This window comes from Homo sapiens, chromosome 7, assembly GCF_000001405.40.
Source record: "Homo sapiens chromosome 7, GRCh38.p14 Primary Assembly".
NCBI lineage: Eukaryota > Metazoa > Chordata > Mammalia > Primates > Hominidae > Homo > Homo sapiens.
The window spans coordinates 55,982,478-56,008,680 of record NC_000007.14 but is presented as its reverse complement, the minus strand read 5'-3'; the positions used below and the strand labels follow the sequence as shown (position 1 = coordinate 56,008,680).

Sequence of the window (26,203 nt, the reverse complement as noted above, 5' to 3'; positions counted from 1 at the left end):
CCTCCCAAAGTGCTGGGATTACAAGTGTGAGACACCACACCCGGCCAAGCTATTATCATTTAAGCTATAAACTAAATGTCTCCCAGTTTTGCTTGGTCCAAGCCCAGCTATGATTAAGGGCAGTTTGAAGGCTAAAGGCAAGATTGGGGGGTGGTTAAATTACATCTCACTTGTTAGAGTTTTTGCAAATGTGGTTTCATTTGTGTGTGTGTGTCTGGGGGTTTTGTTTTTTTTGTTGTTGTTGTTTTTTGAGACACAGTCTCGCTCTGTCATCCAGGCTGAAGTGCAGTGGCACGATCTCGGCTCACTGCAACCTCCGCCTCCTGGGTTCTCATTTTTCTTTGCTGGTCCATCTTTCACAAGCATGCAAAGGTGGTTTCAGAGCCCATCCATGGGGCTGTGGCCTGAACATAAGGTGGACATGAATTTGGCTCAGAGGGATCTGATCCTCCGAGAAATACTGATGGCCACATGGGACCCTTTATAAGAGGGGCTGGTCCCACAGGCTGCCCAGCTCTCAGCAAACTGCCCAAAAGCTGCCGTCTCAGACAATCCCTGCTTTGTTGTGTTAGAGGAGTGAGTTTGAAATGATACAAGAACTGCCTTTCATACGTTTTGAATTCTGGACTCACTGGAAACAGCTACGGAACAGCTCTCCCAGGAGTTACGCACATGCCTACACTAGGATGGACTCAGAAAGGCATGGCTGATTGTCCGTGTGACGCCATTGTTCATTCTGATTATGAACACCGCTTACGTAAACAGAAAGAGCTAAGAATTGGGATCATGAAGCCAAGAGCAGAAATTTTTCAGGGTATTAAGTTGAAACAATAAAAGTCCTTTAAAGCTTTTATATGCTTTAAAAAAATGACTTTATGCCCCCACCCACTCCATTCTCTCCTGGTTTAACTGCTGCTTATTTTTTATTTTTATTTTTTTGTTGAGACAGGGTCTCACTCTGTCGGTCAGGCAGGAGTACAGTGGTAAGATTATAGCTCATTGCAGCCTGGAACTCCTGGGCTCAAGCGGACCTCCTGCTTTGACCTCCTAACTGGGACCACAGGTGCACACCACCACACCTGGCTAATATTTAAATTTTTTGTGGAGATGGGGGTCTTGCTGTGTTGTCCAGGCTGGTCTTGAACTCCTGGCCTCAAACGATCCTCTGTTCTCAGCCTCCAAAAGTGTTGGGATTGTAAGTGTGAGCCACTGCATGCAGGCCTAACTGCTGGTTTAATGATTCTTCCATTTCTCTCTCTTCTACTGGAGACAAGTGTGTCTGTCTCCATGGTACCCAGGGAGGCCCACTGGGGCTGCTGCTCCCAAGGGCAAGGCCACAAGAGAGCGGCAGATTTCAGAGATTGGCCTCAGGAAGCGGTAACATGAACCTGATGGCTTTTGACCCTACGACCCTCAGAATCTTTATGAGCAGCTTCAGAAAAGCTAACCATGAGTCACAGTGCTTATTTTCACATTTTGCAAGGTGTTTTCATGTCTCCTCATGTGATTCTCACAGTCCTAAGGTCAGCAGTATAGAAACTGCTGTCCTTTTTTTTTTTTTTTTTTTTTTTGAGATGGTGTCTCGCTCTGTCACTAGGGGCTGGAGTACAGTGGTACGATCTGAGCTCTGCGACCTCTGCCTCCCAGGTTCAAGTGATTCTCTTGCCTCAGCCTCCCAAATAGCTGGGATTACAGGCACCATGCCTAGCTAATTTTTGTATTTTTTGTAGAGACTGGGTTTTGCTATGTTGCCCAGGCTGGTCTCAAACTCTTGGCCTCAAGAGATCCACCCACCTCAGCCTCCCAAAGTGCTGGGATTACAGGTGTGAGCCACCGCGCCCGGCCCTGCTGTCCTCTTTAACAGCTGGGAAATACCCTACCAGAGTTCATGACAGCTGTGAGATTACATTCAGAGCTGGAACCCGAGGCAATGATTTCCACACCATTCTTTATCTTGTAAGCATTCCTAGAGAGTTAACAATTTAGCAGGCCAGGATTATCCACCCCAAGTGAATACTTAACACTGTGGTCACAAGTGCTGACATATGAATACAATGGAGAAATTTTACTCCCTGAGATGGAAGGCCTGTTTTGCAAAAACTTCAAGTGGTTTTCATCTATTTTTTAAATTTTTTTGTAGAGATGGGGGTCTCATTATGTTAGGCTCAGGAACTCAAGATCAGCTTTACAATGTAGCAAGACTCATCTCTACAAAAAACACAAAAAGTAGACAGATGTTGTGGCTCATGCCTGCCGTCCCAGCTACTCAGGAGGCTGAGGCAGGAGGATGGCTTGAGCCCAGGAGGATGAGGCTGCAGTGAGCCATAATTACACCACTGCACTCCAGCCTGGGCGACAGAGTGAGACCCCGTCTCCACAGAAAAACAAAAAACCCCAAAACTGACAGTCTCTATACTTTTTCTTCTCCTTCATTCTCTTCTCTCTCCCTCTCTCCTTTTACTTCTTCCCTCCTTTCTTTTTGTTGATTCATCTTATTATTGACCATCTATGATGCCCCAGAAATAAACTGAAAGTATAAATTTAATAAGAAATACATTTATAGAGCAGGGTGCGGTGGCTCATGCCTGTAACCCCAGCACTTTGGGAGGCCGAGGTGGGCAGATCACGAAGTCAGGAGTGCGAGACCAGCCTGGCCAACATAGTGAAACCTCGTTTCTACTAAAAATACAAAAATTAGCCAGACGTGGTGGTGCACTCCTCCAGTCCCAGCTACTCCGGAGGCTGAGGCAGGAGAATCGCTTGAACCTGGGAGGCGGAAGTTGTGGTGAGCTGAGATCACGCCACTTCACTCCAGCCTGGGCAACAGAGCGAGACTTCACCTCAAAAAAAAAAAAAAAAGAAAAAGAAATACATTTGTAGGCCATGATGGTGGGCTCAAGTCTATAATCCCAGCACTTTGGGAGGCCAAGGCAAGCAGATCAAATGAGGCCTGGAGTTCAAGACCAGCCTGCCCAACATGGTGAAACCCCATCTCTACTAAAAATACAAAAATTAGCTGTGCTTGGCGCACACCTGTAATCCCAGCTACTTGGGAGGCTGAGGCAGGAGAATTGCTTGAACCCGGGAGGTGGAGGTTGCAGTGAGCCAAGATCCTGCCACTGCACTCCAGCCTGGGTGACAGAGTGACACCCTGTCTCAAAAAATAAAAAAAAAATAAAAATTTGTAGTGAATTCTTATAACTTTATATTGCATCAGCAACCTTTTGAAATTTAAGTTGGACTTTCTACTACCAGAAGCAGGGCTCAGTCATTCTTTTTTTTGAGACAAGGTGTCGCTCTGTTGCCCAGGCTGGAGTGCAGTGCTGTGATCTCGGCTCACTGCAACCTCCTCCTCCCAGGTTCAAGCAATTCTCCTGCCTCAGCCTCCCGAGTAGCTGGGATTACAGGCATGTACCACCATGCCGGCTAATTTTTGTATTTTTAGTAGAGATGGGGTTTCACTATATTGGCTGGGCTGGTCTCGAACTCCTGATCTCAGGTGATCCGCCTGCCTCAGCCTCCCAAAGTGCTGGGATTACAGGCGTGAGCCGCCACAGCACCGGGCCAACTCAGTCACTCTTGACACTGTTTCCAGTTCTACTCCCTGACCCCCACAGTCCCTCAATGTGGTGGATCCAGAAGTCTGCCTTACACAACTGCCCCCTGGTGGCCACCTTCCCGTGGGACAGTTACATGCAGCCTGTTCAGCAGGCCCCACTGACCCTCACACCGACACGGACTGTGCAGATATGCTGCAGTGACCACCATTCAGTCACTGCAAGACCTCCTGGAACTCGTGACTGCTTGCTTTATTTTTTGTTTGTTTTTTGAGACAGGGTGTGTCTCTGTTGCCCAGGCTGGGGTGCAGTGGTGCAATCTCAGCTTACTGCAGCCTTGATCTCCCAGGCTCAAGTGATCCTCCTACCTCAGCCTCCCAAGTAAGCTGGGACTACAGGCGCCCACCACCACGCCCAGCTAATTTTTGTATTTTTAGTGGAGACAGGGGTTTCACCATGCTGGCCAGGCTGGTTTCAAACTCCTGACCTCAGGTGATCCATCTGCCTCAGCCTCCCAAAGTGCTGGGATTGCCGGCGTGAGTCACCTCACCCGGCCACTTGCTTGCGTTAAACCCACCAGTTAAAATCCCCACGTGAAACCTGCTTGGGTGACACCCAGGACCCCACTAAAGGCACTGGCCCCCAAGTCTCTTTCTGACCTCCTGTGTATGACCTCCAGGAGTGTTGTGTATCCCTAGGATCTTTAAGTGATAAACTGTTTGTTTGGTTTGGTTTTTTGACAGGCTCTCACTTTGTCACCCAGGCTGATGTACAGTGACACGAACACAGCCCACTGCAGCCTTGACATTCCAGGCTCAAGTGATCCTCTTGCCTCAGCCTCACAGGTAGCTGGGTACCATCACACAGGTACCATCACACCTGGCTAATTTTTAAATTTTTTGTAGACACAGGGTCTACAGAAATTGCCCAGGCTGGTCTCCAACTCCTGTACTCAAGAGATTCTCCTGCCTCGGCCTCCCAAAATGCTGGGACAGGCATCAGCCACTGTGCCTGGCCAAGTGATAAACTATTTCCATCTTGGGCCTCTCCTAATCACTGGAGGGGTGCTGTCCATCTTAAAGGCCCTACATTAAAGCAATGGGCAGCCAAGCGCAGTGGCTAATGCCTGTAATCTCAACACTTTGGGAGGCCCAGGCAGGAGGATTGCTTGAGCCCAGGAGTTGGAGACCAGCTTGGGCAACATAATGAAACCCTGTGTCTACAGAAAATTTAAAAATTAGCCAGGCATGGTGCATGCACTGTAGTCGCAGCTACTCAAGAGGCTGAGGTGGGAGGGTCACTTGAGCCTAGGAGGTCGAGGCTGCAGTGAGCTGAGGTCACGCCATTGCACTCCAGCCTGAGTGACAAAGCAAGACTGTCTCAAAAACAAAACAAAACAACTACTTGATATCAGCGGAAGCTTGTCAGGTAAACGTCCAAAGAAAAAGAAGAAAAAAAATATATATATATTGTTTTAGTCACCTAGAAATACAAGCCATTCTAAAGATTTTACTTACAGAACACTAAAAGGGCGAGAAAGTAACTGATTATCTTGTGGTATGGGCTGTCCCAGAGGGAGGCTACTGCCTAGGGACATTGAGTTAAAAATCTTCCTCTTTTTTTTTTTTGAGATGAAATCGCACTCTGTCCCCCAGGCTGGAGTGTAGTGGCATGATCTCGGCTAACTGCAACCTCTGCCTCCCAGGTTCAAGCGATTCTCTTGCCTCAGAATCCCAAGTGGCTAGGGTTACAGGTGCATGTCACCACACCTAATTTTTGTATTTTCAGTAGAGACAGGGTTTTGCTTTGTTGGCCTGGCTGGTCTCGACTTCCTGACCTCAGGTGATCCGCCCTCCTTGGCCTCCCAAAGTTCTGGGATTACAGGTGTGAGCCACTGCACCTGGCCTATATTAACACATTTTTGATGTGGCTCCCATCCCAAGGGTTAAGAGGCCAGGCTGGGGGCACGCACTCTCCTAGGCCTCACTAACCACAGATTGTGACACAGCCTCCACCTCCTGGGCTCAAACGATCCTCCTACCTTAGTCTCCTGAGTAGCTGGGGCCACAGGTGTGTACCACCACACTGGCAAATTTTTTGATTTTTTTTTTTTTTTTTTTTTGTAGAGACAGGATCTTGCTATGTCGCCCAGGCTGGTCTGGAACTTCTGGTCTCAAGAGATCCTCCTGAGTTGGCCTTCCAGAAGAGCTGGGATTATAGGTGTCAACCACTGTGCCCAACCATGCTTGCTTTAAATCTACTAATTAAAACTCCTCATAGGGAAATCTGTTTGAGCAATGCTCTGTACCCCACTAAAGGCACTGGCCCATGCGTCTCTTTTTCTCCCCGTCTGTGCTCCCTGACTCCATGTGTGTGACCTCCAGGCATGGTGTTTACCCCCAGGACCTGTAAGTAATAAAATCTTTATTTCCATCTTGGGTGTCTCCTAATCACTGGAGGGATGCCCTCCATCCTAAAGATCCCAAACTAAAGCAAAATTATGATGGGGAACTGCAAAAAGGGTCTTTCACAGGCAGTTGTGAAAATAAAAGACGGTTCTATCAATGGCTAGTTTGGAGGAGAGCAAAGTGGTTCTAAAAAGGCTTTTAACAAGTGGTAAGGGCTGGGTGCGGTGTCTCACGCTTGCAGTCTCAGTGCTTTGGGAGGCTGAGGTGGGAGGATTGCTTGAACCGAGGAATTTGAGACTAGCCTGGGCAATATGGTGAGATGCCATCTCTACAAAATAACAGTAATAATTTTAAAAAGCCAGGCATAGTGGCACACCTGTAGTCCTAGCTCTTTGGGAGACTGAGGTGGTAGGATTGCTTGAGCCCAGGAGTTTAGGGTTACAGTGAGCTGTGGTCGCACCACTGCACTCTAGCCTGGGCGACAGAGTGACACTGTCTCCAAAGAACAAAAAAGGTGGTAGGGATGCTGATAATATGGCACACTTGCTTTTTGAAACAGACTTAAAAACCTCACGTGTGATAACGAAAAATGAGTTGGCTTTTATAAGTAATATTCCTCAGACTTATAACCAATAAATTGAAAATGAGTTTGGAAGTTTTGAATACTGCCAATGAAAAGTAATAGTGTGGCTGAGGACAGTGGCTCACACCTGTAATCCCAGCACTTCGGAAGGCCCAGGTGGGTAACTTGAGCCCAGGAGTTCGAGACCAGCCTGGGCAACACGACAAAACCCTGTCTCTACAAAAAAATACAGAAATTATCTGAGCATGGTGGTGCACACCTGTGGTCCCAGCTATTCGGGAAGCTGAGGTGGGAGGATGGCTTTAGCCTGGGAGGTGGAGACTGCAGTGACCCAAGATCGTTCCACTGCACTCCAGCCTGGCGACAGAGCCAGACCCTGTCTCAAAAAAGAAAAAAGAAAATTAATAGTGGGACAAAATAATGATTCATTGTGCTATAGAAATTCAGTAAAATGACTTGTCAAACTGAGCAGGAATTGCTAAAATAAAGTGATAATTTCATAAAATAGCTCAAGAATAGAATGCCCTTATCAAAGGTCACTTAGTGACCATCATGTTGCTAAATTCATGAATTTTTTTTTTTTTTCCTAGATGGTGTCTTGCTCTGTCACCAAGGCTGGAATGCAACCTCCGCCTCCCAAGTTCAAGTGATTGTCTTGCCTCAGCTTCCCCAATAGCTGGGATTACAGGCGTATGCCTCCATGCCAAGCTAATTTTTGTATTATTTGTAGAGATGGGGTTTCACCATGTTGGCCAGGCTGCTCTCGAACTCCTGACCTCAGGTGACCCGCCCGCCTCGGCCTCCCAGAGTGCTGGGATTACAGGTGTGAGCCACTGCACCCAACTGTGAACAGTTTGGGGACCACATCTGGCCCAGCCACTTGACAGCATTTGACAGAGGTGATCTCTGATGGACTTTCACTTGGCTCTCATGACGCCTCACTTGCTTGAGTGTCTGCTGAGTTCCCTGGTGGTTTCTTAGTCTCTTTTGCAGGTTCCTCCTCATCTTGATCCTCTCCTCTGACTACAGTCACTCCCTTGGTGAGCTCCTCTAGTCTCACTTTTTTTGAGACGGGCTCTCGCTGTCACCCAGGCTGGAGTGCAGTGGTGCGCTCTCAGCTCACTGCAACCTCCACCTCCTGGGTTCAAGCGATTCTCCTGCCTCAGCCTCCCAAGTAGCTGGGATTACAGGTGCCCACCCCCATGCCCAGCTAATTTCTGTGTTTTTAGTAGAGACAGGGTTTCACCATGTTGGCCAGGTTCATCTCGAACTCCTGACCTCAGGTGATCCTCCTGCCTTGGCCTCCCAAAGTGCTGGGATTACAGGTGTGAGCCACTGTGCCCAGCCTTGTTATTATTTTTGAGACAGGATCTAGCTCTGTTGCCCAGGCTGTAGTGCAGTGGTGCAATCACAGCTCATTACAGCCTCGACCTCCTGGGCTCAAGCAATCCTCCTGCCTCAGCCTCCTGAGTAGCTGGGACTACAGGCACATGCTACCATGCCCAACTAATTTTTCGATTTTTTGTAGAGATGAGGTTTCATTCATGTTGCCCAGGCTGGTCTCAAACTCCTGCGTTCAAGGGATCCTCTGGCCTCGGCCTCCCAAAGTGTTGGAATTACTGGTGTGAGCCACTGGGCCCGGCCACTAGGGTCTTTCTAATGGCCTCCAACACTCAAGGGATCCAGCCCTGTGACCTCTGAGCTCGTGTCCCACCACACTCTCCCTCATGTCTGCTTCTGCCACTGGCTTCTGCTGCCCTCAGCACATACCAGGCATGACCTTGCCCAGGGCCTCGTAATTTGTTCCTATGGAGGGATTTTCCCCAGAAGCCAGCTGACTTCCTCACTTCCTTCAATCTTTTGTGACAAGCTATTTTGCAAGAGTGACAAGGTCATTCACAGCAATGTTTGTCAATCTCAGAACAAATTAAAAAAGAAAATCCAAACGTGATATGTGGAAATTAAGAGGATTTTATTGACTTTTCTATGTTCTTTGAGAAAATCATTCACATGTAAAAGTTTGACATTTGATATGAGATTTATTCACACTTTACACATACATTCTTGATTGTGGGGCAGACAATTGTTCATTTCAACAGGACTTTCACATGGTAACAGTCACAAAATTGGCATACTATATTAAAAAATGAAATCAAACAGCTAGACAAAAAGTATGCAGCTTTATGCCAATTTAAATCTCAACATGCACCACCCCTCACCCATGATCTCAGAATTATCTGCTGTGAGCTTATTAAAATATTAGCCAGAGAGTGTCTGAGGTCACAAATGATCGTTTACAAAATAAAACCTCTTTTCCTAGAGCTACTTGTTTTGTTATAGAAAAATACCACAAATAAAAATTAGTGCTATTCAAGGTGTTCATTTCAAAATCACATATGATACACAAGTTTCAAGCCATTGTTTTTGTGTCTCACATTGAAACATCACAATACATGATGTGAAACTGATTTACTGATTAAATGTACCTTGCCCAGCTTGGAAAACCCATTGTCTACTATGTGGACTGCTTACAAATGAGAGTGAGTTAAAACATTTTCAGTTATTGGGTACACTTGTAATTTGTTCCTCCTCAGAAACTACTCAGAAAAACTGCTTGAGAAACATGACAAAATTTGTATTTCTTCCTGATACAAGAAATTTGTCTAAAAATCTGTGATTATAAAACAGATTTGTTTTTTGGTTTTTTTTAGTAAAGAAATGGCTAAATTTTTTTTGTGGTTGGAATCTTATTTTCAAGATGATTCAGAATTCAACGTGGACCCCTTCTGGAGGGTGGGGAGAAGTGGCTCAGTGTTATAAGGTATACTGGACAACACGGGGTGTTTCAAAGAGGACGACAAGGCACTGTCACAATCAGTCCAACTGTAATTCTTTCCTTTCTTGTGATTATGTAAATTTTAAAGAAAAGAGGTTTCTCACAAGCTATATACAGCAGCTTAAAACCTCAGTGTTTCTTTTTCACTTGATACACAATTAAAATTAATTTACGACAAATACTTGTCACAGAAATGTATGTAGGCACATAGAAACTCTACAGCTTTACTGGAGGGGCGAGGTCTTCAGTGGGATCATGATTCTGGATTCCATTTCCTGAATAAGTGGAACTGAAAACAAGATCAGGGTTACTGCACTTGTTACTTTCTAAACACATTATGGTAAATGACACTAACAGACAGATTGCCGAGAATGTTCACAGATGTGCTGCTTGAAAACAAGAGAATATCATAATATACAGGACTAACCTCAAGGGCAGAAATATACAAGCGGACCCTGTATCAGCTGCCATCCTACAAGATGCTATTAAAATTACAACAGATCAGCTGGGCGCAGATCACCTGTAATCCCAGCACTTTGGGAGGCTGAGGCAGGTGGATCACGAGGTCAGGAAATCGAGACCATCCTGGCCAACAGGGTGAAACCCTGTCTCTAGTAAAAATACAAAACTTAGCTGGGTGTGGTGGCGCCTGCCTGTAATCCCAGCTACTCAGGAGGCTGAGGCGGGAGAATCGCTTGAAACCGGGAGGCGGAGGTTGCAGTGAGCCGAGATCGCGTCACTGCACTCCAGCCTGGCGACAGAACAAGACTCCGTCTCAAAAAAAAAAAAAAAAAAAAAAAAAACAGATCCTACCTGGATATTTGTTTTATTTGTGGGAGGTAGGAAAAGTCCATACTGTGAGGAGAAATGGTGATTTCTCAAACGTTCGCGTAAGCAGCAAAATCAAATACAATTATATAATTATAACATGTAATTATATGTTATATAATCTCTTGAACTGAAAGACAAGGTAACACCTACTTTCTAGGACAAATTACTCTTTTATTTTCTTGGTAGTATAGGGGCTGAGATACACTTTTTTTTTTTTGAGACGGATTCTTGCTCTGTCACCCAGGCTGGAGTGCAGTGGCACAATCTCCACCTCCCAGGTTCAAGCGATTCTCCTGCCTCAGTCTCTCAAATGGAGACAGGTTTCATCATGTTCGTCAGGCTGGTCTCGAACTCCCGACCTCAGGTGATCTGCCCACCTCAGCCTCCCAAAGTGCTGGGATTACAGGCGTGAGCCACTGCGCCCGGCCTGAAATATACTTGCCATGCAACATGGCTGGTACTGATTACCTCTACCAATGCCACTGGGTTACATTCAGCCAACTGTTTTCTTTTAAAAATCAAGCAAACAGGGTTTCATAATATACTTATGTATGTGCACATGCATGTATTATGTACCCAGATACATACTGTACATACAGGAAGTTTAATTTATCTAATTTCAAAATCACTCTTTAATTGATGTATTAAGTTCTGATTTGGGATACTAACAATTCTGATGGAAAAGGAAAGCTTAGAAAAAAATTTTATTTGTGTAATAAGTTTTCAGAGAATATAGAAATCTACAAAAACAGGTAATGATGTAAAATTTACAACATCCAAGGGTCTGAAAACTGTAACAGATGATATACCTATTTGAAAGCATGGATATTCTACTTTATTGAAAAAAAGTCATGTAAGTATTAGAGAAAAATTGACTATCTCCCTTCCCCCCACAACCTGATAACTCACTATCCTAGCAACATACTATTACAAAACCCACCTATTAGTGTCAGGGTGAAAGAACATGATTGAAACAGTAAGACAAAAAGCATATTTCATGGCTGTTAAGAGATTACCTGTGTAATATACCAATTCCTCCCAGCCATGTTTGTGCCATGCTGCATTCCGTATGTCTTCCCTGGTCTGAAGATCCCTGTAAGCTTAAAAATAACCACACAGAGAAGTAAGACTTAAAACACATACACTGCATTCCACCCATACATCCGTTAAAGTCTTGCTTCACCTGGACATCTAGTTTTCTCAGGGACTACTTCAGGTGTGTAATATACTGGGCTGGGGAAATTCTGAGCAAAATTATATTAGGCCACGTGGGAAAAGCAAACTTTCAGTCTTTTTTTTTTTTTTTTCTGAGACAAGGTCACTCTGTCAACCAGCCTGGAGCGCAATGGCACGATGATGTTTCACCACGGCCTTGACCTCCTAGGCTCAAGTGATCCTCCCACCTCAGCCTGCTGAATAGCTGGGACTACAGGAATGTGCTACCACATTGGCTAATTTTTGTATTTTTTTGTGCCCAGTCAGATGTCAAACTCCTGGGCTCAAATCATCAAAACGCCTCAGTCTCCCAAAGTGCTAGAATTACAGGGGTGAGCCACCACGCCTGGCCCATTCTTAAGTTAAAAAAATTATTTGTTTGTTTGTTTGAGATGGGGTCTCACTATGTTGCCCGAGCTGGTCTCAAACACCTGGACTCAAGTGATCCTCCCGACTCAGCCTCCAAAACTGCTGGGAATCGAGGCGTGAGCCACCACATCCAGACACAATTCCCTCTTAAGCTTTACAATCTAGTGAATCTAAGATATACCTTTATAAACCAAGTGAAATTCTCCAATAACATGTTAAATTCATGACCAGAAACTGTGAGACCACAGATGAGCAATGTCAGATCAATTTTACTCAACATTTATCTCGCACTACACTGATCTGGGCAGGGAGCGTGTTCCAGCGGTGAAGCCCCAGGATATGAGGCAGGCGAGGTCAGTTGTGGAGAGTGCCGTGGCCCATACAAGGACACAGTGTATAGGGGAGCAGGGCAAGCAATGGGAGAGCTGTGGGAAAGGTGCAAGCTGACCAGGTGGGTGTTGAAGTTGAAAAGGACATCACTGACGTAGGAATAGGAAGAAAGGCGCTTCAGGTGGAGGGGGATCACCTGTGTCATGGTACAATTCACAGGTATCTCATCCAGATGCCTTGGTTTCTTTTCTTTTTTTTTTTTTTTTGAGACGGAGTCTTGCTCTGTTGCCCAAGTTGGAATGCAGTGGTGCGATCTCGGCTCACTGCAACCTCCGCCTCTTGAGTTCAATCGATTCTTCTGCCTCAGCATCTTGTGTACCTGGGATTACAGGCATGCGCCTCCATGCCTAATTTTCTGTATTTTTAGTACAGATGAGGTTTCACCATGTTGGTCAGGCTGGTCTCTTAACTCCTGACCTCAGATGATCCACCTGCCTCGGCCTCCCAAAGTGCTGGGATTATAGGCGTGAACCACTGTGCCCAGCCAATATCTTGTTAATTACATTTTTTTTTGAGACAGGGTCTTGCTCTATTTGCCCAGACTGGAGTGCAGTGGCACAGTCATAGCTCACTGCAGCCTCAAACTCCTGGCCTCAAGCAATCATCTTCAACTTGCTGTTGCTCTGTGAAGCCTTGAGTCCTCCCGACAGGGCAGAGACAAGAGGTCTGTCCTGCATTCCCCACAGCCTCTATGAGAGCTCCGCCATTCACACTCTGGTGCCTGCCTGTTTGCCATTCCAGGATCCTGCATCTGGGAGGCCCTCTCCGGGCAGCTACAGGTGCTGATGTGAATGGAGCATGCACCTGGCTTGACCTCTGCCCAACAGCCAAAGGGATGGAACCTTCCTCCATCCAATCCTGCCCTTCTAGCACCTGTGCTTATTCACATGCCTGGGAGGGTTGCACACCATATACAGCCGCAACGGTAATAACCAGCACCACACAAGGCTCTGGGGGCTCAGGAGGAGTGATGATGTTCACTACTGGGGAAGGGTGACATCTGGGGCAGGCCTGGAAAAATACCAAAGATGGTGCCAAACAAAAGTGTGTGGGGATGGAAATGGTGAGGGGGTCAATGTCATGAGACAGTGGAACCACGTCTACAAAGGCAGGCAGTGAGTATGTGCAGGAAGCTGCTGCTCTGGGTAAAATGCAGGCCTGCCTCTGTCGAGGAAGTAAGCAGTCAGTCTACAAAGAAAGGCTGGGACCACTCTGTGGAAGGCACTCTTGACTTCCCTGGCCTCCTTCTTCCATGGCTGCTTGCTTTACCCCTTATTCCTTTCCCCATCATCCCTACTCACTTTCAGCTCACTAATGCCATCAATCTATGGACTTTCACTGTTGACCTCGCTAGTTCCAGACAGCCCCGTACAGACTGTCCCTCTGTGACGTCGGATTTGCTGTAGTGGTTAAGGTTACTGACTCAAGATGTGCTCTACTTCCCAGTACAACTTAGTAATGAACTCTTAAATCCCAGTAACTCGAAAAGGGAAAAACAGATACCCCAAAGATGGTGCACCATGTACAGCTGCCCAATCTGAGAGAAGAATCCTCCGACGGCTTCGTTACCATCCTGTCTGAAGCGGATTGCACGAGCCCTGTAAGAATGAGATGATGTTTGTTTAAGACACTGAATTAGATACGCTAACGAGAATCGGTAGACTAAACCTTCACCATACTCAGGGCAGGCTGTTTAAAATGAAGACTAATGGTTTATCAAACTGGTATCAAGTTATCTAAGGCAAATCAAAAGTTATTTTATTTACTTTATTATTATTTGAGACGGAGTCTCATTCTGTCACCCAGGCTGGAGTGCAGTGACACAATCTCAGCTCACTGCAACCTCCACCTCCTGGGTTCGAGCCATCCTCCTGCCTCAACCTCCTGAGTAGCTGGGATTACAGGCACCCGCCACCATGCTCGGCTAATTTTTGTATTTTTAGTAGAGACAAGATTTCCCTATGTTGGCCAGGCTTGTCTCAAACTCCTGACCTCAAGTAATCCGCCCGCCTCAGCCTCCCAAAGTGCTGGGATTATAGGCGTGAGCCACCACACCTGGTCTAAAAGTCATTTTAATGTATATGAAATGTAAGCATACTTTTCTGTAGCTATACTAATTTTTTTGAGAAAATGTATTTAATAATTATTAAAAATAAAAACAGCAACCTGAAGATGTATATATAGTTGCACTGGTGATTCTTGAAATAAAGTCTAGAACTGGCAGAGGATGGGACCCGTCAATTTAAAAAGCACTGCTTCTCCAGAACACCCTCAGAGGGGAAGCGAGGCAAACCTGGAACTAGAGCACCCAAGGTGCCACAGGGCACTGTACCCAAGGGAGACAGGGACCACCCCTGGGGCAGGGCGTTAAAACACAGGTGAAGGAAGCACACCTTCAAAGCAGCTGATGACTCTGAAATCCTGAGAAACACCCCTGCTCTCTGAACTACACAAGGGACTCTGCAACTTCTTGGATGCCATACAGAGGAACCATGGGAATGAAGCTTTCTGGTGGTACAGCCTCAGTAGTGCAGGCAAAGCTGCCTCTTGCTTTTTTTTTTTTTCTTTCCTACTAGAGCAAACCATTCAGAAAATGAGTACCAAAGGCATTCATTATGTACCAAATATGGAAGAAAGTACTAATATACATTGTGCCTCTGTGGACATCACACTATGATCAGTTAAAAATAGGCACTTGGCTTAAAACTTTAAGAATTTCCCACTGCAAAAGGTATCAGCTCTTTAATTTTTTTTGAAACAGTCTTCCTCTGTCTCCCAGGCTGGAGTGCAGCGGCGTGATCTCAGCTTACTGCAATCTCCATCTCCTGGGTTCAAGTTATTCTCGTGTCTCAGCCTCCTGAGTAGTTGGGGTTATGGGCACATGACATCACGCTCGGCTTTTTTTTTTTTTTTTTTAGATGGAGTCTCGCTGTTGCCCAGGCTGGAATGCAATGGTACGATCTTGGCTCACTGCAACCTCCACCTTCTGGGTTCAAGCGATTTTCCTGCCTCAACCTCCCGAGTAGCTGGGATTACAGGCGCCCACCACCACGTCTGGCTAATTTTTTGTATTTTTGGTAGGCATGAGGTTTCGCCATGTTGGCCAGGCTGGTCTCGATCTGCCCCGCTTCGGCCTCCCAAACTGCTGGGATTACAGGCATGAGCCACCAGGCCAGCCTACAGCCCTTTTTTTTTTTTAGACGGAGTCTTACTCTGCCACTCAGGAGTGCAGTGGCGGGATCTCGGCTCACTGCAACCTCTGCCTCCCAGGTTTAAGCTATTCTCCTGCCTCAGCTTCCTGTGTAGCTGGGATTACAGGTGTGCACCACCACGCCTGGCTAATTTTTGTATTTTTAGTAGAGATGGGATTTCACCACATTGGCCAGGCTGGTCTTGAACTCCTGACCTCAAGTGATCTGTCCACCCCAGCCTCCCTAAGTGCTTGGATTACAGGTGTGAGCCACTGCGCCTGGCTCAGAGCCCTTTCCTTTCATACTTGCACCACTTAAAAAAAAAATATTTAGTGATGCATCTGAATTCCTAAAAATGTTTTAAAATGTGCCCATTTTTTCAAAAGCAGTCTTCTAGAATCAAAGGTGAAAAGGAAGGGGCTTCAAATGACATAGGGAGGTCACCAGAAGACACATGGTTAAGGTCTATCAGGAGATGACACACCATGCATTACCCAGTAAATCCATACCACACTGCCCAGGCTCTGGCCTGAAGTCTCAGTCATATCAGGGTCCCACAGGTGACAAGACTTGGGAAGACAGATTCACTCTAATTCATTCAAAAGAGCTGGCAGCATATAAACAAGGATAGCAACCTACTAACAATGACAGTGAAAGATGTCACTCTCAAGGCACAAGATGCTTGAGTTGGCTTGGCTGAGCATTCTCTTCCTGGAGGCAAACTTCATATATACTGAATGATAACATCTCAAAAGGGGGAAAAAAATCCAAGAGTGATTTCCTGTGAGTGACTAAGCCAATCTCCTTTTTTAAGACAGAGACTCACTCTGTCACCCAGGCCGGAGTACAGTGGCATGATCTTAGCTGACTGCAGTCTGGAACTCTTGGGCTCGAGGGAGCCTCCTGCCCCGGCCTCCTGAGTAGCTGGAACTACAGGCTTGCACCACTAAGCACAGCCAATTTTTTATTTTTTATTATGTTTTTGTTGTTGTTGAGATGGGGCCTTGCTATGTTGCTTGGGCTGGTCTCGAACTCCTGGGCTCAAGCAATCCAGTCTCCTTAAAATCACTCTACACCTCTGCTCTAATCCACCATGGGCTCAGTGCCATGATGGGAACCTTACCCAAGCGCTTGGGTTCCTTTATGGTGAAAAAGGGACTTCTTGCTATTGCCCCCATGGATTATCCACAAATAAGATGACATCTTTAATCTTTACATTGAGAATTAAGTGATCAATATCTTCACAGAAATTATAAATCTGATTATTGAAATTAAGCAAATCACTTCAATGTGCATTCTAACTCTATTCAGAAGAAAAAAACCTGGCTTTCATTGATAGTGATAAATATTCCAGATTATTCATTTCATTCTGAATTTTTGTAATTTAGTTATGGTAGGCAAACAAAACATACTTGCCTTAGCCTGGTAACAATCAGAAGCCTGTACAGACGAGGTGGTCACCATCTTAGTTACCTATGTGCCAAAATATAAATTGAATGCTAAACTGGCTTTATAAATTATATATATATATATATTTTTTTTTTTTTTTTTTGAGACAGAGTTTCACTCTTGTTGCCCACGGTGGAGTACAATGGTGCGATCTTGGCTTGCCACAACCTCTGCCTCATGGGTTCAAGTAATTCTCTTGCCTCAGCCTTCCGAGTAGCTGGGATTACAGGCATGCACCACCACACTTGGCTAATTTTTGTTATTTTTAGTACAGACAGGGTTTCTCCATGTTGGTCAGGCTGGTCTCGAACTTCTGACCTCAGGTGATCTGCCCATCTTGGCCTTCCAATGTGCTGGGATTACAGGTGTGAGCCACCGCGCCTGGTCAAATAATTTTTTAAATAACTGAATAACCCCAGTATGTCCCTGTGGATTCCACGGCGAGCGAGTCTTGATCAGTAATGGGCAAAAATTGAACTAGTGAGTAATCCTATTCCGTGAGTAGCTACATGATTAACAACAATAGTCCAAAAACAAAAGAACAAAAATTGTATATAATAGTAGCATACAACCAAATATGTATTTCTTAGTTTTCAAATGAAAAGAAATTCTAACTTCCATTATTTAGCCTTTGATGATCTAAGGAGGAAAGGTTCATTAGAAATAAAGATCACAGAACTATTTGTTGGAGACAGAAGGGATCTTAGAAATTATTTCATGCACAGCAGGAAATTTCATAACCGAAAAAAGAGAAAAACTGGGGCCGAGCGCGGTGGCTCACACCTGTAATCCCAGCACTTTGGGATGCTGAGGCAGGCAGATCACTTGAAGTCAGAAGTTCGAGATCAGCCTGGCCAACATGGCGAAACTCTGTCTCTACTAAAAATACAAAACATATTAGCCAGGTGTGGCGGTGCACGCCTGTAATCCCAACTACTTGGGAGGCTGAGGCAGGCTAATCGCTTGAACCCAGGAGGCAGAGATTGGAGTGAGCCGAGACTGCGCCACTGCACTCCAGCCTGGGCAACAGAGCAAGACTCCGTCTCAAAAAAAAAAAAAAGAAAAAGAAAAAAGAAAAGATATAAGTTGAAGTTAAAAAAAAAGGCAAAAAGGTACAAGTTCTCTTTTCAAGGTGAGAGCTGTCAAGTAACTCAAACCCAGAGCTTTTTCTCAGCACCATGTGGCCTCCCCCTTTGTGGGTAAATAGTTATGAAATGCCAGCTTAGGAAACAGAAATAGCAAGCTGCCAAAGAAAAGTAAGAGTTAACATAATTACTTCAAAGAAATAAACACACACATCTCCCCCTAAAAACAAAAAACAGGCTAGGCACGGTGGCTCATGCCTGTAATCCCAGCACTTCGGGAGGCCGAGGCAGGCGGATCATGAGGTCAGGAGATCGAGGCCATCCTGGCTAACACAGTGAAACCCCGTCTCTACTAAAAAACACACAAAAAATTAGCCGGGTGTGATGGCTGGTGCCTGTAGTCCCAGCTACTCAGGAGGCTGAGGCAGGAGAATGGCGTGAACCTGGGAGGCGGAGCTTGCAGTGAGCCGAGTTCGCACCACTGCACTCCAGCCTGGGCAACAGAGCAAGACTCCGTCTCAAAAAAAAAAAAAAAGAAAAGAAACAAAAATTAAGGTACAGAAATATGTTAAGTTTCAAAGAAAAAAAATGCTATAAATCTTTTGTTGAATTAGATATAGATGTATGCTTCAGATTATTTTAGGAAACTATCCCAATGTTTCAAAATTATATATATATTCTGAGATGGAGTCTCACTCTGTCGCCCAGGCTGGAGTGCAGTAGTGCCATTTTGGCTCACTGCAGCCTCCATCTCCTGAGTAGCTGGGACTACAGGTGCTCGCCACCACACCCAGCTAATTTTTTTTTTTTTTTTTTGGATTTTTAGTAGACAGGGTTTCACCATGTTGGCCAGGCTGGTGTCAAACTCCTGACCTCAAGTGATCTGTCTGCCTCAGCCTCCCAAAGTGCTGGGATTACAGGCGTGAGCCACCATGCCCAGGCAGTATTTTTAGCTTCCAAAGAAATCCCATAATGAAGTAAGTATGGAGACTGGTAAAAAGAAAACACCAACAATCTCACCATCACAGAACCCTAAATGTCACTAGTGTTTTTCTTTCCATTTCCTGTCCTAGGCACTGACTTCAGCTAACCAATGGTCAATAATTTATTCTTGCATCCCTCTTAATTATTGAGGCTTTTTTGGGACAGGATCTTGCTCTGTTGCCCAGGCTGGAGTGGAATGGCATGATCATGGCTTGCTGCAGCCTCAACAGCAAGGGCTCAAGTGATCTTCCTGCTCAGCCTCCAGAGTAGCTGGGACTACAGGCAAGTGCACCACTGCACCTGGCTAATTTAGTATTTTTTGTAGAGATGAGGTTTCACCATGTTGCCAAGGCTGGTCTTGACCTCCTGGGCTCAAGGGATCCTCCCACCTCAGCCGCCCGAAGTGTTGGAATTAGAGGTGTGAGCCATAGCACCCGGCCTATTGAGGCTTTGTATGTCTCTGTCTTTTCTCATATTATAATAGTCAGGATTTCTAAAAACGGTATTAAATCATAATGGTGAAAGCTGGTATTTTGTTACAATTGTAATCAGCATGCTTCTTGTGTTTCTTGTGTTTTGAATTTAAGGTAGCTCCTGGGAGGACGTGGACAGCTTTATCATTTAAAGCAGGGCTAGTAAACTGGCCCTCTGGCTAATCCCACCCTCTGCTGATGGGCATTTAGGTTGTTTCTACTTGTTGGCTATTATAAAACATGCTGCTATGGTCACTTAAGTGTTTACATGGATGTTTGCTTTCTAACTTGCATTATTTAGCCTTTGATGATCCAAGGAGGAAAGATTCTTGTATAAGAAACACTTATACACATATATATAAGTGTTTATATGGATGGTATCTTTTGGGTAGACACCCAGGAATGAAATTGCTGGGTCATATGTAATTTTTTTTTTCTTTTTTTTGAGATGGAGTCTTGCTCTGTCACCCAGGCTGGAGTGCAGAGGCGTGACCTTGGCTCACTGCAACCTCCACCTCCTGGGTTCAAGCGATTCTCCTGCCTCAGCCTCCTGAGTAGCTGGGATTACAGGTGCACACCAACATGCCCGGCTACGTTTTTGGTATTTATTTTTAGCACAGATGGGGTCTTGTCACGTTGGCCAGGTCGGTCTCGAATTCTTGACCTCAGGTGATCCGCGCCCTCAGCCTCGTTAAGTGCTGGGATTACAGGCGTGAACCACTGCGTCCAGCCCACATGTAATTTCTGAGGGACTACTAGACTATTTCCAAAGTGGCTGCACCATTTTACATTCCCATCAGCAATATCGGAAGGGTCCACTTTCTCCTCACCTCACTAACACGTTATTATCTATCTCTTTTAAGTTACAGCTGTCCCAGTGTGCAGGAACTGGTATCCCATTATAGTTTCACTTTGCATTTCCATAATGACTAAGAAGGTTGAGTCCCTTTCCATAAGCTTATGGGCATTCATGTATTTTCTTTGGTGAAATCCTATTCAAATCCTTTGTCCGTTAAAAAGTTTTAAAATTTATTTAAAAAAAAATTTTTTTTTTGATACAGGGTCTGTAGCCCAGGCTGAAGTGCAGTGGCACAATCTCAGCTCACTGCAACCTCTGCCTTCCAGGTTCAAGTGATTCTCGTGCCTCAGCCTCCCAAGCAGCTGAGATTACAGGCATGTGCTACCACACCTGGTTAATTTTTGTATTTTTTGTAGAGATGGGGTTTCACCATGTTGCCCAGGCTGGTCTCAAACTCCTGATCTCAGGTGATCTGCCCACCTTAGCCTCCCAAAGTAGCTGTGAGCCACTGCACCTGGCCTAAACATTTTTTAAACGTATTTTTTATTGTGGTAAAAAAAACACGTTAACATTGAATTTACCATCTTACCCATTTTTATGCAGTGTCCAGTATATTTACACTGTTATGCCACAGATCTCCAAAACATTTTCATTTTGTAAAACTGAAACTCTATACTCAATAAACACCAATTCCGTATTCCCTCTCTGCCCAGCTCCCGGCAACCACCTTTCCACTTTCTGTTTCTATGATTTTGGCAACACTGGATACTTCACATAAGGAGAATGATACACTATTTGTCCTCTTATTTCACTTAGCATTACATCCTCCTCAATGTTCACCATATTGCAGTATAAGACAAGACTTCCTTCTTTTTTGGAGGCGGGGGATGAAGTCTCGCTCTGTTGCCAGGCTGGAGGGCAGTGGCGCGATCTCAGCTCACTGCAACCTCCACCTCCCGGGTTCAAGTGATTCTCCTGCCTCAGCCTGCTGAGTAGCTGGGGCTACAGGTGCACGCTACCACGCCCAGCTAATTTTTGTATTTTTAGTAGAGACGGGGTTTTGCCATGTTGGCCAGGCTGGTCTCAAACTCCTGAGCTCGGGTGACCAGCCTGCCTTGGCCTCCCAAAGTGCTGGGATTACAGGTGTGAGCCACCGCACCCAGCCCACAATTTCTTTATCCATTTATCTATTGATGGATATGTGGGTTGTTTCTACCTCTTGGCTACTGCAAATAAAGCTATGATAAACATGGGTATGCGAATCTTTTTGAGATCTGCTTTGAATTCTGTTGGATATATATCCAGAAGTGGGACTGCTGAATCACACTAATTCCATTTTCAATTTATTTTTTATTTTTGTGAGACAGGGTCTCACTGGGAGTGCAGTGGCATGATCATGGCTCACTGCAGTCTCCACCTCCCCAGGCTCAAGCAATCCTCCCACCTCAGCCTCCTGAATAGCTGAGACTACAGGCATGTGCCACCACCACGCCTGGCAAGTTTTTTTTTTTTTTTTTTTTTTTTTTTATAGAGACAGGGTTTCACCATGTTGCCCAGGCTGGTCACCAACTCCTAGCATCAAGCGATCCTCCTGCCTTGGCCTCCCAAAGTGCTAGGATTACGGGTGTGAGCCACCACACCCAGCTGCTGTCTTTTCAAATTCTTTACCCATTTTTTAATTGAGTTATCTGTATTCTTATTATTGAGTTGTAAGAATTATTTATCTATTCTGAATTCAATTTGCTTATCAGACATATGATTTGCAAATATTTTATTCCAGTATATGACTTGTCTTTTTAATTAAATTTTTTTTTTTAGTATCACTGAAAGTAAGGCAATTTTTTGTTTTGTTTTGAAACAGTCTGCTGTCACCCAGGCTATAGTGCAATGGGGTGATCTTGGCTCACTACAACCTCTGTCTCCCAGGTTCAAGTGATTCTCCTGCCTCAGCCTCCTGAGTAGCTGGAACTACAGGTGCACACCGCCATACGTGGCTAATTTTTGTATTTTTAGTAGAGACAGGGTTTCACCAAGTTGGTCAGGCTGGTCTCAATCTCCTGACCTCAAGTGATCTTCCCACCTTGGCCTCCCAAAGTGCTGGGATAACAGGTGTGAGCCACCATCCCCGCCCTAATTTTTTATTTTTTTGAGACAGGGTCTTATTCTCTCCCAGGCTGAATAGTAGTACAATCATGGCTCACTGCAGCCTCCACCTTTAAGGCTCAGGTGATCCTCCCACCTCAGCCTCCCGAGGAGCTGGGACTACAAGTGTGTGCCACCATGCCCGGTTAATTTTTGTATTTTTTTGTAGAGTTGGGGTTTCGTCATGTTGCCCAGGCTGGTCTCAAAGTCTCAAACGTCTGGGCTGAAGCAATTCTCCTCCTTCAGCCTCCCCAAAGTGCTGGAATTACAGGCATGAGCCATCATGCCCAGTCTTTATTTTTATTTTTATTTTATTTTTTTGAAAAGGAGTCTCACTCTGTCACCTAGGCTAGAGCACAGTGGTGTGATCTCAGCTCACTGCAACCTCTGCCTCCTGGGTTCAAGCAATTCTCCTGCCTCAGCCTCCCAAGTAGCTGGGATTACAGGAGTGCACCACCACGCTCGGCTAATCTTTATATTTTCAGTAGAGATGGGGTTTTGCCATGTTAGCGAGGCTGGTCTCGAACTCCTAACTTCAGGTGATCTGCCCACCTCAGCCTCCCAATGTGTTGAGATTACAGGTGTGAGCCAACATGCCCGGACTTTTTTTTTTTTTTTTTTTTGAGACAGGGTCTCACTCTGTTGCCCAGGCTGGAGTGCAGTGGTGCAATCTTGGCTCACTGCAAACTCCATCTTCTGGGCTTAAGCAATTCTCTTACTCAGCCTCTCAAATACCTGGGACCTCAGGCATGTGGCATCACACCTGGCTAGTTTTATTTATTTATTTATTTTGGTAGAGGTTGGGGGTCTTACTATGTTGCCCAGGCTGGTCTTGAACTCCTGGACTTGAGTGATTCTCCTGCCTTGGCTTCCCAAAGTGCTGGGATTACAGGCATGAGCCACAGTGCACCTGGCTAGTCTTTTGCACTTCTAAAGCCTGCTGGGAGTTTGATAGGGATTCTGCTGAATCTACATATCAACTTGTGGAAAAATTGTTATTTTTCTACTCAAACTAGCAAGGAAAAAAAGAAGAAACCATTATTGACATGGTGTGTATATATGACAAAAGTAACGTTTCAGAAAAGATGATATCCAAGAAGTATGTAAACTAACCTTATGCAATATTGGTTTTGCTTTTAAAAAAAAGGTGCTTATCTTTTAGAAATATATATAGTACTGAAATATTTATGAATGAAATAGAATGCTGTCTGGGATTTAATTCCAAACAATCTGGGTTGAAGGAGTTAGGCCTAAACAAGATTGGCCATGTGTTAATTATTGAAGCTAAGAGATGGATGTGGAAGGGGAGCCCCATTATTCTCTCTAGTTTTGTATGTTTGAAAAATCTCATAATAAAAACATCAAACGAAACATTAGTGCAGTGTTAAGTCACAGTACTATCCTCAGATTTTTTTCCCTAGAATTAACACTATGGCCTAAACTAATCTATTCACAAGACTTAAAAAATCACCATTCAGTAATATACTCACCAGTAATTGCCCCATTCAATCATGGTTCCTGGCTGAAAACAGATTTAGATTTGGTTTGTTAGTTCTTCTGTGAAAAAAAAAATACAGAAATAGCAAACAGCAGTAGAAAAAACATTAAGTGACAAAACTAACTTCAAAAAACCTTTTTTTTTTTTTTTTTTGAGACAGAATCTTGCTCCGTCACCCAGGCTGGAGTGCAGTGGCTCAATCTCAGCTCCTGAAACCTCCGCCTCCTGGGTTCAAGCAATTCTCCTGCCTCAGCCTCCTGAGTAGCTGGGATTACCGGCGCCCGCCACCATGCCTGGCTAATTTTTTATATTTTTAGTAAGAGATGGGGTTTCACCATGTTGGCCAAGCTGGTCTCAAACTCCTGACCTCAGGTCACCCACCTGCCTTGACTTCCCAAAAAGCTGGGATTACAGGCATGAGCCACCACACCCAGCCAAAACTTTACTTTTTAATTTAATAGAGACAGGGTCTCACTATGTTGTTCAGGCTGGTCTCAAGCTTCCTGGCTCAAGCAATCCTCCAACCTTGGCCTCCCAAAGTGCTGGGATTACAGGCATTAGCCACTTTAATAATGCTGCTATGTGGGGCTTTCTTTCTAGTCCTCAGTAGGAAAATTTCTAGAAAGTGTTATATTATTGCCTTTTACTCTTATCATGTTATATAATTTGTTCAACAGTCACAGTGTTTATTAGCTGCTCTCCTTTAACCACAACAGATGTTACATATTGTACCTTATCCTGCACTTTAGGTCTTTCTTCTTAAAAACAAATATGTTATTTAGAAAAATATCAAATAATAAGCATTATGTGTAAGGCCATAAAAAGCAAAAGAGCTTAGCCTTGGTGACAGTGTGAGACCCAGTCTTAAAAAAATACATATATATACATATAATGCTAGACATACATCACAGAATGTACACACAAGTTCTGTTGTCAGCCTTACAAAATGCTTGTGCTTTTTCACAGAGGAGTAAAAGGAATAACTTATATTTCTGTACTTACTCGGAGTTGGTAAGACCTGAGTTCATATATATTAGGTCCGGATCTTGGCACAGGCTCATTCCAGAAACTGAACTCCAACAGGAGCTGATTCTTCCTGGAGAGAAGCATGTCACTTCTTGCCTTACGAAATTCCAAAAATTCCTTTGAGTGAAAAAAATGTGCTCATGAAATCTTCTGATACTTACATATAAGCCCATTTCAGTAACATTGATGTTCCTACAGAATACTATAATAGGGTAATCAACAGGTCCCAGTTGGCCTGAGACAGTCCCAGTTTACATCTGTTGAGCTTGCATAATCATTAACAGCATTCCTTTTCATTCTCAAAAGTGTCCAGGTTTAGATGACAAATTACTTGGTCATCCTAATTATTTAGGTGGCAATGCAAACAAATTTAATTTGCTATATTTTTAGATTCTTCTAACAGTGTTTGATGGCACATCAATAGAAGTAGCATGCAGACTACAAAAGAGCAGATAATTCAAAACCTATTTATATTTGTCTGGGAATCTATACAAAAGAATTTCTTTCTTAATGATGTGTGGCTTTTAAATTTCTCCCTATTGACAAACACCTGCTAGTGAAGGGAGGGTGGAAAGCAAAGTCAGCCCAAGATAAACTCTATGTGTGTGACAAACAGTTCCTGAATTAGACAGTTTTAGGTCATCCAGAGCTAATTGTGCCTGCCATGCTGATTGATACACCAGTCACCAGTCTTTTGGGGGTTTTTTTTGTGTTGTTTTTTTGAGGCAGAGTCTCACTCTGCTGCCCAGGCTGTAGTGCAGCGGTGTAGTCTCGGCACACTGCAACCTCTGCCTTCTGGGTTCAAGCAATTCTCGTGCCTCAGCCTCCCGAGTGGCTGGGATTACAGTTGTGCACCACCATGCTCGGCTAATTTTTGTATTTTTAGTAGAGATGAGGTTTTGCCATGTTGGCCACGCTGGTCTCAAACTCCTGGCCTCAACTGATATGCCTGCCTTGGCCTCCCAAAGTGCTGGGATTACAAGCATGAGTTACCGCACCCAGCCCAGTCACCGGTTTCAAAGTACCACCTTATCAGTTTCAAAGCATAATTGACTTTTATAATAAGAACAATAAGAATTTTTTTTTTTTTTTTGAGACAGAGTCTTGCTCTGTCGCCCAGGCTGGAGTACAGTGGCGCAATCTCAGCTCACTGCAAGCTCCACCTCCCGGGTTCACGCCATTCTCCTGCTTCAGCCTCCCGAGTAGCTGGGACTACAGGTGCCTGCCACCAAGCCCGGCTAATTTTTTTGTATTTTTTTTAGTAGAGACAGTGTTTCACTGTGTAAGCCAGGATGGTCTCAATCTCCTGACCTTGTGATCCGCCTGCCTTGGCCTCCCAAAGTGCTGGGATTACAGGCGTGAGCCAC

General features: G+C 44.8%; 1 protein-coding gene across 2 annotated transcripts in view, besides 2 other annotated features; it reads right to left on the bottom strand.

The window, feature by feature from the left end:
- Positions 3,490–3,589: an enhancer, noted in NCBI's record as "active region_26045". NCBI's record gives its function as "activates an Ori minimal core promoter by ATAC-STARR-seq in GM12878 lymphoblastoid cells {active_cell/tissue: GM12878}" and the evidence as "EXISTENCE:reporter gene assay evidence [ECO:0000049][PMID:35858748]".
- Positions 8,502–26,203, bottom strand: part of NIPSNAP2 (nipsnap homolog 2) — a 35,595-nt gene continuing 17,893 nt past the window's right edge. For both annotated transcript variants that reach the window (NM_001483.3, NM_001202469.2), the window contains 5 exons: positions 24,813–24,953; positions 23,803–23,834; positions 13,693–13,787; positions 11,232–11,315; positions 8,502–9,673 (listed from right to left, as the gene is read on the bottom strand). In NM_001483.3, the coding sequence (NP_001474.1) occupies positions 9,609–9,673; positions 11,232–11,315; positions 13,693–13,787; positions 23,803–23,834; positions 24,813–24,953 (417 nt within the window). In that variant the 3' untranslated portion in view covers positions 8,502–9,608. The remainder of the gene's footprint in view (positions 9,674–11,231; positions 11,316–13,692; positions 13,788–23,802; positions 23,835–24,812; positions 24,954–26,203) is intronic.
- Positions 15,958–16,158: a silencer, noted in NCBI's record as "peak6528 fragment used in MPRA reporter construct". NCBI's record gives its function as "represses an SCP1 promoter by STARR-seq MPRAs in K562 erythroleukemia cells {active_cell/tissue: K562}" and the evidence as "EXISTENCE:reporter gene assay evidence [ECO:0000049][PMID:32103011]".